Source organism: Homo sapiens, chromosome 17, assembly GCF_000001405.40.
Source record: "Homo sapiens chromosome 17, GRCh38.p14 Primary Assembly".
In the NCBI taxonomy this organism is placed as follows: domain Eukaryota; kingdom Metazoa; phylum Chordata; class Mammalia; order Primates; family Hominidae; genus Homo; species Homo sapiens.
In genome coordinates this window covers 50,478,122-50,492,418 of record NC_000017.11, presented here as the reverse complement: position 1 = coordinate 50,492,418, position 14,297 = coordinate 50,478,122, and the positions used below count along the sequence as shown (strand labels likewise).

At 48.6% G+C, this 14,297-nt stretch overlaps 1 protein-coding gene across 2 annotated transcripts, besides 3 other annotated features; it reads right to left on the bottom strand.

The window, feature by feature from the left end:
* Positions 1-6,444: 6,444 nt before the first annotated feature.
* RSAD1 (radical S-adenosyl methionine domain containing 1) lies at positions 6,445-13,559 on the bottom strand. 2 transcript variants are annotated; one of them, NM_018346.3, is made up of 9 exons: positions 13,400-13,559; positions 12,657-12,790; positions 12,335-12,539; positions 9,963-10,328; positions 9,713-9,776; positions 8,932-9,079; positions 8,659-8,713; positions 7,874-7,977; positions 6,445-7,675 (listed from the first exon to the last, which is right to left on the bottom strand). In NM_018346.3, exons 1-9 carry the CDS (start codon positions 13,532-13,534, stop codon positions 7,558-7,560), a joined length of 1,329 nt encoding a protein of 442 aa, NP_060816.1. In that variant the 5' UTR covers positions 13,535-13,559; the 3' UTR covers positions 6,445-7,557. The 2 variants fall into 2 exon arrangements, 1 of the variants encoding a protein (NP_060816.1); NR_130911.2 differs by lacking the exons at positions 8,659-8,713; positions 9,713-9,776; positions 12,335-12,539; positions 12,657-12,790 and having other exon boundaries at positions 7,777-7,977.
* Positions 9,617-9,911: an enhancer, noted in NCBI's record as "tiled region #9450; HepG2 Activating DNase unmatched - State 5:Enh, and K562 Activating non-DNase unmatched - State 5:Enh". NCBI's record gives its function as "activates a minimal TATA promoter and a strong SV40 promoter by Sharpr-MPRA in HepG2 and K562 cells {active_cell/tissue: HepG2 | K562}" and the evidence as "EXISTENCE:reporter gene assay evidence [ECO:0000049][PMID:27701403]".
* Positions 12,346-12,732: a silencer, noted in NCBI's record as "fragment chr17:48557048-48557434 (GRCh37/hg19 assembly coordinates)". NCBI's record gives its function as "represses an EF-1alpha promoter that drives an FKBP-Casp9 reporter gene in an ReSE screen in phorbol 12-myristate 13-acetate-treated (for megakaryocytic differentiation) K562 erythroleukemia cells {active_cell/tissue: K562(+PMA)}" and the evidence as "EXISTENCE:reporter gene assay evidence [ECO:0000049][PMID:32094911]".
* Positions 13,304-13,793: a silencer, noted in NCBI's record as "silent region_8699". NCBI's record gives its function as "represses an Ori minimal core promoter by ATAC-STARR-seq in GM12878 lymphoblastoid cells {active_cell/tissue: GM12878}" and the evidence as "EXISTENCE:reporter gene assay evidence [ECO:0000049][PMID:35858748]".

Genomic DNA, 14,297 nt, shown 5'->3' with positions numbered 1-14,297 from the left:
TGACCCTGTGCAATTTCTCTGAGCCTGTTTCCTCATTTGTAAAATGGGCATGATGATAATAGAACTTATCTCATTTGGTTATTGCAGAGCTTAAATTAGCTAATGTACATAAAATTCTTGGTACAGTGTGTGGCTTACAGCTACTGCTGTACTACATTTTGCTACCACCTAGGCACTGGTGGTGGCAGAACCAATTAGAAAAACCCAGGACATGTTGTTGAGTAAAAAAGCAGGTTGCAAAACTGGCATGGGGATGTGATCTCTTTTGTGAAAAATTATTTTTATGTCTACATCTATATGTATATCTATGCAGATTATACATATAGATAGATGTGTATATCCAGAGATGCCTGGAGGAATGGTTGGCCAAATGTTAGTAGTGGTAATTTCTGGGTAGTAGAATTTTTGCTTTCTTCTAAATTGTTGAAAGATAGCATGTATTAACTTTTGAGCAGGAAAATAAAAAAAAAGAAAGAAAGAAAAACCCTTTGGAAAACAATGTTCCGGTTCTCATGCCAAGAATCATTAAAGCCTTCATACCTTTTGACCTATCTCACTCTTGAGAATTGACCTGAGGAAATAATTCAAATGAAGGAAGAAGCCATATCCACAAAAGCAGGCACTACAGCAGTATTTATTATAGGAAAATTGAGCAACCATGTAAGTGACTTACATTAGGGTAATGATGATTAAATTATTCACTCATTGGAACGTTGTGCAACAATTAGAATAAGATGATGACCATGTAGCAATGTGGAAAACTGCTTATGACAAGAGAATTGAAAGGGGCAGAATGCAAAATTAGATCTGGGCCAGGGTCACATCTGGGTAAAAATATGGCTTGCATTTGGACTAGGACTGGAAGGGAACACAAGCAAATAAGGCAAATAAAAAAATGTATTTTGTTGGGACCACTGATTATGGGTGATCCTTTTTTCTTTTTCATTTAGAATTCTGTCCAATGTTTCTATTTTGTTATTTGTTTCATAATAATAATTTTAAAATTGGCCTTAAAAATCCCCTCAGGGAGAAGGGACAGCAGGGAGAGAAAGATAAAAGGGAGACCTAGGATTCTCCCAGGAGGGGGTCGGCTGAGTAAGAGAAACTCAGAGGTAATGTACAAGACATGGAAATCAGACTGAATTCCAGCTCAGTCTTCTACCTAGGTGGTCCCAGAGGTTGTATCCCCTTTGCTTTCTGACTTGGCAGTGATCAATCAGATGGATGAAACAGTTGCCAAGGCAGTACTGATGATAAAGCTAGGATCAAGAATGCTCTTTAGGCCGGGTGTGGTGGCTCACGCCTGTAATCCCAGCACTTTGGGAGACCAAGGTGGGCGGATCACGAGGTCAAGAGATTGAGACCAGCCTGGCCAACATGGCGAAACCCCATCTCTACTAAAAATACAAAAAATGAGCCAGGTGTGGGGGTGTGCACTTGTAGTCCCACCTACTCTGGAGGCTGAGGCAAGACAATCGCTTGAACCTGGGAGGCGGAGGTTGCAGTGAGCCAAGATCAAGCCACTACATTCCAGCCTGGGTGACAGAGCGAGACTCCGTCTCAAAAAAAAAATAAAAAAGGAATGCTCTTCAAGTTGGAATCATCTGGAAAAATTGATCATGCTTGCCATTGATGAGGTTGAGAAAAGAGCACTAGCAGGCTGGCAAAAGTGGTGTGAATTGGGCAGCCTTCCTGGAGGGTAGTCTGGCATTGTGTATCCAAACAAAGGATGTGCAAATCCTTAGAGTTAGCAATTCCACTTCTTGAGATTTAACCTAAACCTAAGAAAATGATCAAACCATTGCATAAAAATATTTACGTAACATGTTCATCACAGAATTTATATTTATTAAAAATTAAGGGGGGTGCAGTGGCTCACGCCTGTGATCCCAACACTTTGGGAGATTGATGCGGGAGGATCACTTGAAGCCAGGAGTTCAAGACCAGCCAGGGTGGCTAGGCGCGGTGGCTCACACCTGTAATCCCACCACTTTGGGAAGCTGAAGATGGATCACGAGGTCAGGAGTTCAAGACCAGCCTGGCCAAGATAGTGAAACCTCATCTCTACTAAAGATACAAAAATTAGCTGGGCGCAGTGGCAGGCACCTGTAATCCCAGCTACACCGGGAGGCTGAGGCAGGAGAATCAGTTGAACCTGGGCAGCAGAGGTTGCAGTGAGGCAAGATTACGCCATTGCACTCCAGCCTGGGTGATACAGTAAGATTCCATCTCAAAAAAAAAAAAAAAAGACCAGCCTGGGCAACATAGTGAGACTGCATCTCTGTAAAAATATTTAAAAATTAGCTGGGCACGCTGGTGTGTATCTGTAGTATCAGCTACAAAGGGGTGGAGAACTGAGGCAGGAGGATCACTTGAGCCTGGGAGGTTGATGTTGAATTGTTTGAACCTGGGGGGCAGAGGTTGTAGTGAGCCAAGATTGCGCCACTGCACTCCAGCCTGGGCAAGGGAGCAAGACTCTGTCTCAAAAAAAGAAAAAAAAAAGGAACTGGAGGCTGAGGGCGGTGGCTCACACCTGTAACCCCAGTAATCCCAGCACTTTGGGAGGCCAACGGGGGAGGACTGCTTGAGCTCAGGAGTTCAAAAGCAACGTGAGTTACATGGCAAAACCCTGTCTACAAAAATTTTAAAAATTAGCCAGGTGTGGTGGTTCCAGCTACTTAGGAGGCTAAGGTGGGAAGATTGCTTGAGTCCAGGAGGTTGAGGCTGCAGTGAGCCATGACTGTGCCACTGCACTCCACTCTAACCTGGGTGACAGAGATGAAAAAAAAAAAAGAAAGAAAAGAAAAGAAAGAAAGAAGGAAAGAAAGAGAAAAGAAAAGAAACTGGGAAAACAACATTTTTTGGCATAACCATGCATTAGTACACTATGGAGCCATACTGTGATCCCAACACTGAAAAATTGGATCTAGATATAAATTTACCATGGAAAGACACTTAGTACATATTAGATAAGACAATAAAGCTTCAAAGCAAGATGTGTATTATCCCATTTTTGTAAGATTGTGTATCTAAATACATTAATTTGCATATCAGAATTTCTGCTAAGATACACACCACAATCTTAACAATGGCTAATCTTTGAATGGTGGGATTACAAACTGAATCAGACAGTTTAGTCTCAAATATGGTGCAGCAACAACTGGAAAGTCTACTGGTCTACAATGGCAGGGGTTAATTTCTCTCTACTCTTCATGTCTATTGTGGCTGGCTGCTCTGACCATCCTCTTCACCCTGGGACCTAGGCTGACAAAACAGTCTCCATGTGAACATTGCAGGTCACTGCAACAGAGAGCTGATGGACCACCCACCGGCTCTTACAACCAGTGCCAGGCAAGTTTCGTGGCCCTTCCAGGTTCAACAAGGTAGGGGTATATAATCCTCCCCAGGCCCTCAGGTGAGGCTCATGCCAAGGAGGGGTAGCAAACATTTTGGACATGATACAATCTACCACACAAGTGATTTCATTCTATTATTTAAAGTTCTTTTCTTTGCAGAAGGATGTGAGAGGAGAAGTGAGCGGTCTCACAGGCATGATGCCAGCTACAAGGGGCTGGCGAGCTGATGTGGGAGGATCACTTGAGCCTAGGAGTTTGAGGCTGCGGTGAGTTGTGATTGTAACATTGTACTCCAGCCTGGGGGACACAGTGAGACCCTCACCCTCCCTGTCCCTAAATTTGAGAGGTCTGGACTTTGCCTAATTTAAGAGGAAGACCACTTGACCTGGACCTACAGCAAGGAGAAAACAACGATGGGACACAAAGTTCTGGATGCCCAGAAGTGTTATACCGGGCCTTCTGCTTACTGCTTATAGGACTTGAGTCGAGTTAGAGGGCCTCCATGAATGTCCCTATCTGTAAGATGGAAATGAAAAGAGCTGTCCTGTTGACCTCACACAATTCGGCAGCAGGGAGGGGTGGCTCAGTTGGAGGGCTTTCAAATGATCAGTGCTCTGCCTGCACACAGAGGGTTTGGTGCTTCAAGCTGTAACCACATACCCACATGTACTATATGTCCCCAACTTCATCACCAAAGGGGGTTGTTCACCCCTTTTACTTGCATCCATGTAGAGCAGGTGAAAAGATGACAAGCCAGGTCCCACTATGGAGGAGGAGAAGCCCCCTGATGGATGAGTCATGGAAGGGCTGGGATGTGAAATGAAGGCCCCCCTTCCCACTTTGTCACAGGACACTGGAAATAGCCATGTCTCCCTTTCCTCCTGCCCCCAGCCTCCTGGCATGGAAGGCAAGAAATGATTGTAATCAGAGGTTCCCAAAAGGGAATGATCATTAGGGCCATGTATGAGCATTGAAAAACTAGATTCTGGGGCTCCACCTCCGGGAGCTTCTGATTCATCTGGTGAAGGAAAGACCAGACTGAGTCACAGAAGGTGATCTGTGCCACCCCGACTTGGCCCTGGCTCCTACCCAGCTCCTCTGCACGGGCCTTATGAGGTGTCCTGGCAGGGAGCGCCCGGATGTCTCAAGTGGCACGAGCCCTGGCAGCTGGGAGAAACCTGAGTGGTCCCAGGTTATCTGATGGCGCACCTGCCTCGGCCCCGTGCTCGCTTCTTGAATGTCAAGATCAGGGGAAGTCTCAGGAAACAGCTCCCCGAGCAGCACGGGTGACCCCACAGGCTGCCCCAGGGCCAGGCTTTCCAGGGCAGCAGGGGCAATGGAGGTGGTAAGAAAAGGGTATCCCCTGTCCTGCTCCTAGTCCCTCTGAACCAAACGTGCCCCTGGCTCCAACGACCTGCCTGCACACCTTGACTGACAAGCCTGGAATTAATCTCTTTACACATCTATCAACATGGCAGTGAGTGCCTCGAGGGCCAAGACAGGTCTTGTTCCTCCCTGCTGCCCAGTGCAGTCCCTGGCACACCATTTGTGCTTGCTTAATATTTCATGAATAAAGGAGAGGTAGTAACACTTACCATATTACCACAGGGTCAAGGAAGGACTGATATTCACACCCACTGGGCACATGGGAAACGCACGTGCTTACCTGAGAGGTGGGGAGGCCCCATTCTTAGTCACTCAGCTAGAGGCTGAGCTTAGCATGCCTCATTTGGCAGTGGTACTAGATTACTTCTGGCATCATGGTACCCTATGACATAAGGTATGAAACTTATGGAGCCTCTTCCCAGGAAAATGCCCCTCCCCACTCCCTCTGTCTCACACATATAACATACAACTTCCAGGTTAAGAGTATCACCCCTTCACCAGGCACAATGGCTCACATCTGCATCCCAGTACTTTGGGAGGCCGAGGTGGGAGGATCACTTGAGCCCAGGAGTTTGAGACCAGCCTGGGAAATATAGGGAGACCCTATCTCTACAAAAAAACAATTAGCCAGGCATGGTGGTGCACACCTGTAGTCTCAGCTACTTGGGAGGCTGAGGTGGGAGGATCACTGGAACCTGAAAGGTCACAACTGCAGTGAGCTGTGGTCATGCCATGGCATTCCAGCTTTGGCGACACAGTGAAGCCCTGTCTCAAAAAAAAAAAAAAAAAAAGTATCAGCCCTTTAAAAAATGGAAAGCTCTTTTTTAATGGAGAAAGGTTAAAATTATCTACAATGATTGTATGTAGCTAATGAATTTATTTATTTATTTTGAGACGGTGTCTCGCTGTCGCAGGCTGGAGTGCAGTGGCACAATCTCAGCTCACTGCAACCTTCACCTCCCAGGTTCAAGCGATTCTCCTGCCTCAGCCTCTCGAGTAGCTGGGACTACAGGTGCGTGCCACCACGCCTGGCTAATTTTTGTATTTTTTTTTCTTTTTTGTAGAGAAGGGGTGTTGCCATGTTGGCCAGGCAGGTCTTGAACTCTTGACCTTAAGTGATCCACCTGCCTCGGCCTCCCAAAGTGCTGGGATTATAGGTGTGAGTCACTGCACCTGGCCTGATGTCTACAACTTTTAAATTATTCAGAAAAAAAATTATACAGACATATTTATCTAAAGATGAAGTAAATGTGGCCAAAAATTAACAATTGATGAATCTATAGGGTAACCACAAAGTATGGAAACTTTTTTTTTTTTTTTTTTGGAAGCAGAGTCTTGCTATGTTGCCCAGGTTGGCCTCAAACCCTTGGGCTCAAGTGATTCTCCCGTCTTGGCCTCCCCAAGTGCTGGGATTATAGGCATGCACCACCCCATCTGGCCTATCATATTTTTCAATAGATTGAAGATGTTCTTGATGGCATTATGAATATTTGCCTATTTCCAGACTTTATAGTTACATAGTAGACAAAGGATATATGGCTTCCAATGAACTATTCTTTTATCTTTTCTGTAGGTCTGAAATCCTTCAAAATAAAATGTAGGGAGCGGGGGAAGGAATCTCAGCCCTAGGCTAAGGTTCTAGTCCCAAAATCAGGATTCCACGCTCTAGGAAGGAGCTCAAAGGAGAGGACCACAGTCAAGACAGGCTCCAGATGTGTTTATTAGGCTATTTAAATAGAACCATGTGACCATTTCTGTAGGTAAAAGGACAAAGAAGAATTACAAACACTTTGGGTCTTTCCCGAATTCTCTCCCCTTTCTCTGGTCAACTCCACCCACCTTCACTCTCAAAGGAAAGGCACAGGGGGAAGGAAGTGAGTGAGGGGGCTCAGAAGAGTCTGTGTGGCTCCTACCACCCCAAACATATTCTGGTTTCCCGAAGATAAGAGGCAAGGCTTGCTCTGATCTTTCCCAGTTCTCAGAGTCCAGCAGGCCGCTGTGCTGGACACATACATGGATCCACCAACATACATCAGTCCTTCTGTGTTCTCTCCTGCATGGTAGAGGCTGGAAGCCTAAGAGCTATATTCCTCAGAATTTCCTGCCAGCCAGGATTTGCTTTAAAGTCCACTAATGAGAGGCACTTCTAGAAACCATGATTCCTTCTCCAGCAGTGGCAGACAGTAGGCATGAGGTTTTGTAGCATCTTCTGAGCATTTTCCAGTACATCATCTGCTTTTGTGCTGCTGGAAGCTGAGACCATCAGCAGGAGTTTTCTGTGCCTCCTGCAAGTTGCTGATTTCTCACAGTTGCTACTGGCTTTCTCCAATGTTCACTTCTCTATCCCTTTCAGTGGTTTATAAATACTTCATTCCTATAGTAGATCCCTTCCTGCTTATATTAATAATACCTAGAGGGGACATGGTTTTCCTGATTCATCCAGCTATCTTAGGACCTTACTCCAAAATAAGGAAGGCTTCTCTTGGGGAGGTAATTGCCTGTAGAAAGATTTCCAAACACTGTTCATTATTTGATGCCAAAAAGGTAAACAGAAGCTGATGTGGGTGGTAGGCAATTCCCAGCCATGGAACACATGTTGGCCTGTGAGTCCTGAGATGCTGAATGGGATGCCAGTTCCCTGACCAGAAATGTCCTCCCATCTACCTCACTGCTGCCATTCCCCTGGGGATGCCAGGGCTGAGCAATAACCACAAGGAGCAGAGACGGCACCCGACAACGGAGAAGAGATGTCTGCAGTACCGACCCAGCTCTCAAAACCCACCTGGCATTACCCTGGAACACAGGAACATTTTTGTCATCCTCCTGGCACAGGGGAGGGGGTTCTCTGCTGCCAGGCTTCTTGGAGCTGAGGCAGGAGGGTCAGCAAGAGAGAGTCCAGCACAGCCAGACCCTCCCAGGAACACCGAAGACCCCTGGAAAACCAAGAGGCCTGAAGGTGACTACTTCATCTTACCAATTTCAAGCCCATCACCCAGCAGGGCCGAGCTCCCAGCACCCGCAGGTCCCGCCTTACCAGTCAGTCTTTCTCACTTCTCCTGGGTCTGTGGAGAGCTGTAGTCAGGGCTCCCTGGTATGCCTCAGCCCCCTCTGCCCGGCACCCCCCAACACACCTGTGATCCAGCTGCAGTAGGCCCCGCTCCAGCAGCTCCTGCACCTCCTTGTTCGCTCCAAACACATCCCACAGGGTCAGCTGGGGCTCAAACTGCTGCCAGTGCTGGGGAAGCCAGAGGGTCAGAGGTGGGGAGCTGGCCTGGCTACTCTGGGCCACATAGTTGGGGTATGGTGAGAGGTGGGGGAGGGTCCAGTTCAGCATGGAGATCTCAGCAGCTGACATGCATGAAAGCAGAACCAGGCCAATGGGCCAGCAGGGAGGAGGGCAGCTTCACTCCTATTCCACTGAGACTGGAACCCAGCTTCCAGCCAAGCCAGGCCTTCCTCTATGCCTCCTCTCTTCCCTCCCCTCTCAGCCAGCTCTAGCCAGGGCTTTATGGCTCTGCTTTATCCAGAGCAGCTCTGGATTTGCTTGATAATTATCTACTGTGCTTCCTATGAGAGGTTTCAGTGCTCCCTAAAAACAAGTGGAAACCCTTTATCTATCTATTGCTTCACAGAGCTCAGAAAATTGAGGTTAAGAGAGGTGAAAGGATTTGTGTCCAAGGTTGCAGTAAAATGAGGGCTGGAACTTGGGTCTCTGCAGCCCTGGTCTAGGGTTCTTAGCTATGCACCACTGCTCACTGCTTCTGCCCATCAGGCCTCAGCTGGACCTGGGCCCCACTTCTAGCTGCCAATCTCACAGAAATTGGAGGTATATGTGTGTGGGGGGGGTGGCAGGGAGGGGGCATTGATTCTGCAAGACTTTAGGAGGGAGTGGTGTGCAAGAATCCTAACTCCTTACCTGGTGAGTGATCCCCACATCGGTGCGTAGCCCCAGGGCCAAAACTTCCTCCAGCCTCAAAGAAAAATCACCAAGGAGTCTTAGAGAGGAGGCCTGTGCTCCTCCCATTCTCCAAATTCTACACTGGGATGCATTTAGAGGAGGCTAACAGGGACCATACAGTATGTGGCAAGGCAGGGGCCAGGACAAGACAGGAAATAAAAGATATACAAATAGACATGGTCTTGGGGTGTGGGGATCCTGGAGGAGAGCCCTGTGCCCTTGGATGCTCACAGCTCCAGCCTGCCCAGGGGGACACGCTTCCGGGTGCCATGGCCAAACAGCATCACCTCCTTCATCCAGTTGTCAGGCTCCAGTGTCTGGATCCGAGCCTCCCGGGTGTGGCCTCCAGCCCCCTGGGGCATAAATCGTCCATGGGCCCCTGACAACATCAACAACCATCCCCACATTAATGGCTGTTAATACTATGTGTTTACCAGATTTAAATCATGTGGTCCCTGGAGCAACTGCCTCTAACATACTGGAAATATAAATTATTTTTCTTTTCTTTTCTTTCTTTCTTTCTTTCTTTTTTTTTTTTTTTTTTTTGAGGTGGTGTCTCACTATACTGCCCAGGCTGGTCTTGGACGCCTGGGGTCAAACGATCTTTCCACCTCAGCTTCCCAAGTAGCTCAGATTAGAGGCACATGACACCAGGCCCTTTTTTCTTTTTCTTTTTTTTTTAATCATCTATCCCAAAATGCCAAGACATATAAATTCTTGGGCTCTCCTCTAGCCCTGTCCAATTGGGAATTCTGAGGGTGGGGCCCAGCAGCTTGGGTTTTAACAAGCCCTCCAGGAGATTCTCATACACACTAAAGGCTGAGAACCCTAGTGCAAGGTGCAACATTAAGCCCCTTATAATTCATGCTCAACAGTTCTATAGGGAGGTATTATTTTTTGCCACATTTTACATATGAGAAAATAGAGGCTTGGAGAGGTTAATGTGGCCCAAGTTCACACAGCCACGACATTCCTCTCCTGAGTCACCCTTTCTGTAGTTCACGGGACTCACCAGGCCCAACGCCAAGGTACTGACCACACTGCCAGTAAGTCCAATTGTGGGTACTGAGCGCCCCCTGCGGGGAGGGAGGAAATAGTGCAGAGTGAAGAGGGCAGGCCTCATTTTTAGACTCAGGTAAGGGGCCCCAGGTTAGAATGTCCCACCATCTCGGCCAGGATCCTTCTCTTCAGAAGGTCACAACGCCCTGGTCACACTGCAGTCTGCCCATCCTCCACCTCCAGCCATCAGCCCCAGAACTTACATTCCGGGCAAAGTTGGAGACCTCATACTGGTGGAAGCCAGCCTCCCGAAGGACAGCCCGGCCCCTCTGGTACATCTCAGCTGCGAGCTCCGGGTCAGGGGCTGGAAGGGCACCCCGCTGCACCTGGGCGAAGAGTGCGGTGCCCCGCTCCAGGGACAGCTGGTAGAGGGAGAGGTGGTCATCACAGTGGTGCAGCAGTTCCTGCAGCTGCCCAAGCCACGGCCCCACCTGCTGTGCCGGCAGCCCCAGCATCAAGTCTACAGACACGCGCCCGGGAAAGAGGCGCCGGGCCTCTGCCAGCGTCCGCAGAGCATCGCAGGCCGAGTGCGTCCGTCCCAACAGCCGGAGCTCAGTGTCATCTAGGGACTGGGAAAAGAGGGTGGGTGTAAGCATACCAGCAGCTCAGAGAGAGACAAGAACCCTCCTCCCCATTGTAGACACAGATACAGGGAGAACGCAGCACGTGGCAGGCAGCTGGAAGGCAGGAGGGGGAAGGTCAAGCTGGCACCAAGAGCTGCCATTCACAGAAGGGTCGCTATGTGCCAAGCACCTTTATGTAGTGTCTAATTTAATCTTTGTAACCCTCCAATATTAGTTCTATTTTACAGATGAGAAAACTGAGGTTCAGAGGTGTTAAGTAACTTGTCCAGGCCATACAGTTGCAAAGTTCGACCTGGAATTTAGGACTGTCTGACTCCAAAATCAAGTCTTTATTTACTTTACTTTTCAATTTTAAATAATTCTAACCTATAGAAAAGTTGAAAGAAAATCACAAAAAAAACCTTCATCTTGATTCACCATTTGTCCATATTTGTTTCTCTTTAAACATACATACCTGTTATTATGCTGAATCATTTAACAGTAAATTATAAACCAGCACTGTCCAAAAGAACTTTCTACAATGGTGGAAATGTTCATATCTGTACTGTCCAATATGATAGGTAGTAGCCACATGTGGTTATTTAAATTTAAGTGAATTAAACTTAACTTACCACATTTCAAATGCTCACTAGTCTGTGGCTAGTGGCCACTATATTGAATAGCAGTTATAGATATTATACTCCCTAACCTCTAAATACTTAGGTGTGTATTTCCTAAAGAACAAGGACATTCTCTTACATAACTGCAATCCAATTACAGAGTTCAGGAAATGCAACACTGACACAACACCATTACATAATACATTGTCATATTCAAATTTGGCTAATGGTCCCAATAACATCTACTGTAGTAATTTCCTCCTTCCTCCCCAGTCAGGGGCCACACATTGTATTCAGCTGTCTCTTCTGTCTCCTTTAGATTCTCAGCCTTTCTTTGTCTCTCATGACACTGGCATTTTTGAAGAATACAGGCCAGTTGTTTAAAATGAATAATTTAATGAATTTAAATAAATTATTATTATTTACGAATTATAATTATTTAAATGAATTATTTAAAATGAATAATTTCTACAGATTGGCTGTATAACACTGTGCTTATAGTTAACAGTGCTGTATGTACATTTAAAAACTTGTTAAGACGGTAGATCTCATGCTGTCTGTTCTTACCACAATAATTTTGTAAAAATCTCTTAATTCAGGGTTTCCTGACAATTAGATTCAAGATATGCGCTTTGGGGTAAGAATATCTTAGAAGTGATGTGTTTCTGTCAGCATATTCCATCAGAACAAAGCCCACAACCCGGAAGTCCTACGGAAATATCGGAGGTCAACCTGAGACGACTAGGTTTCTCCCTACTTAAAAACCTTCAATGGCTCCCTATCATTACTAGGACAAAACCCACACTCCTTAGTAGGCACCAAAGGTTTTGGACTCTACCTTGCAACCTTGTTTCCAGCCTCTCCAATCACAAGGAATGACTCACAACTCCCCCAAAACATGCCAGGCTCTTCCATGGCCTGTGTCGTTTCCCCCACACCCCCTCACCTGGTGAACTCTTCCTCTTCATTCAAACATCTCCTCCAGAGAAGTTTCAGTGATTTCATCAGAGTGACCTCCCTTCAGGCTGTACTCTAGAAGCCTTTTATAGAGACCCCCTTTACAGGTGACATTTACCATGCTGCAATAATCTGGCTACATGTCTGCGTCTCCCGTGTCATGTAGCAAATCTTTTTTGACCACCTACTATGTGCCAGGCACTATGGTAAGTGTTTGAAATAGAAAAGCCACACCTGATCCCTTTCTCATAAAGTCTGTGGTCTATGACAGCAGCAGACAATTAAGGAGTTATAAAAGTGTCGCACTAGGCCCTACTGTGTCCCTGGCACCCAGAAGGTGCTCAATCAATGTTTGCCCAATGAATGAATGTGACCAAAGAGGAGATGGCACTGAAGGGCGGGGTGCACTGGGATGGGGTGAGTGCCATGGGTTACCTGGAGGCCTATAGACAACCTGTTAACCCCTGCTGCCCCGAACTCTGCCAGTCTGGAGCCCGGAGCTGAAGTAGGATTAGCCTCCAATGTGACTTCCAAGTCTGCAGGCAGGTGGGCTGCCTGTGCCACAGCCTCCAGGACAGCAGCCACCGTGTGGGGACTGGCTAGACTGGGGGTCCCCCCACCAAAGAACACAGACTCCACCCTGGGGAAAGAGAATGGAGAAATGAGACCTGGGGGAGCCCTCTGGGATGCCTGCACCTATCCCCCACCACTCCTCCAAATATTTCCCAAAACGCTGCCTACAGCCCCCACTACCCACCGTTGCACCCCGCTGAGCCGCAGCAGCGTCTGAGCTTCGGTCACCAGACACTTCTGCATGGCAGCCTCCTCCAGGCGGCGAGGGATGTACTTGTTGAAGTTGCAGTAACTGCAGCGCTTCTCGCAGTAAGGCCACTGGGGGCAGTGAGTGCACGTGCGCGGTGAGAGCTGCCCTGGCCACTTCCAGGGTTCAGTCGCACACACCCCCAACCCCACCCCCACCCCTATCCCGAGGTCTTTCCACAGTAGCTAGGACATCTAAGCCACACAACTCCCCAAGGCAGGTCGCACTGGGGTTATTACATCCACTTCAATGTGAGAAAACTGAGGCTCACTCCTTTGTTACGCTGCCTCTTCCAACCAGCAGACGTCAGGAAGGAATTCAACCCAAGCTCTTTCTGGGATCATATAATTTTCATACAATTTTCCTATGAGCCATTTTCCCAGCTACCGAGTCAGAACACTGCTCTTAAGAAAATTTTGTCTTGCTAAGAGGAAAATTGTTATGAAATTTGAACCATTTGGTCAGAGTCACCGAGCCGGTGAGTAGCAGAGACTTCAGGTTTCTGGACCAAGTCATTTCCCTGCCAAAGCACAGGGTCCCATCCCAGACCTCGTACGGGGGCACGGAAACACGGCAGGCGGGTTCATAGAGTGACAAACCGCCACCTGGGTTTTGGACGGCCACGGTCACGGCCAGGGCTGCGGCCACACACCGTGGGCTCCGCCCCCGCCCCTACTCACGTGTACGTAAAGCGCCGCGCGCCGGCCCGCAGGCTCAGGACTCGGGGACCCTCCTGCGTTCTCCACGCGGCGGCGCCTCTGGGCCGCTCTGGCTGCTGCCGCCCAGCCGCGAGCCCGGGCTCCGGGGAGCGCCATGGCGCCCAGCGCAGCGCGGCGCACTGACCCGAGCAGGAGACGCGCGCAGGGATCACTGTGAGTGCGCAGCCGGCGGAAGGAAGAGGGGCTGCGTGACCGCGCGACAAGAGGGCCCGGGCCCGGGGCTGCGGCGCCACCTGCCGGGCGCCCGGGCGCTCACTGCGGCCTCCTGTCGGTTCTTTCCCCAGGCCGCGAGGCGGGCTGCTTGCCTTTTGGCACCTTGTGCCCGGGCGAGTTCCCGGACCCATCCAGGAGCTCTTAGTTTGTTCAGTCAATTCCTTGACATTTGATGTGCCTGGCTCAGAACTGGGCGCTGGGGACATCTAGGTGCATAAAGCCAGGTTGCATTCTGGCAGGAGAGAGGCAAGCCAACCGGCCAGGACAGGCAAGGCGTATTAATTCCGTGCCTGCTGGACACCAGAGCCGTCCGCCTCAGTGCTGTGAGGTCATCTGTTTTAAGAGTGTGGGAGTCAGTAGGGCAGAAGAGACACTTGGGCTGGATCTTTCTTTTAATTTCATTTACAAATATTTGGGAGAGGGGAGGTCTTGAACTCCTCGGCCTCAAGCGATCCTCCTGCCTCAGCATCTAGAGTAACTAAGGATTAAGGGCATGAGCCACCACCAGGGCTATGCACGGGATCTTGGAGGAGCAGAAAATCCCAGGGGCAATTGGCTTGGCCGGGAGAGTAGACTGTTTTGGGTCAGGCCAACCCAAGCATCTGGAGGTGTACGTGCTGGAAGGACAGTCAGATGGTGTGTGTAG

Bases quoted from the DNA above. Each gene is read 5' to 3' on its own strand.
- RSAD1 (NM_018346.3), bottom strand. From the start codon at position 13,534: ATGGCGCTCCCCGGAGCCCGGGCTCGCGGCTGGGCGGCAGCAGCCAGA. The intron at 12,540-12,656 runs GTGGGTAGTGGG...CTCTTTCCCCAG, and splicing joins CGGCTCAGCGGGGTGCAACG to GGTGGAGTCTGTGTTCTTTG. The intron at 8,714-8,931 runs GTGAGCATCCAA...TTTTTCTTTGAG, and splicing joins CCCCTGGGCAGGCTGGAGCT to GCTGGAGGAAGTTTTGGCCC.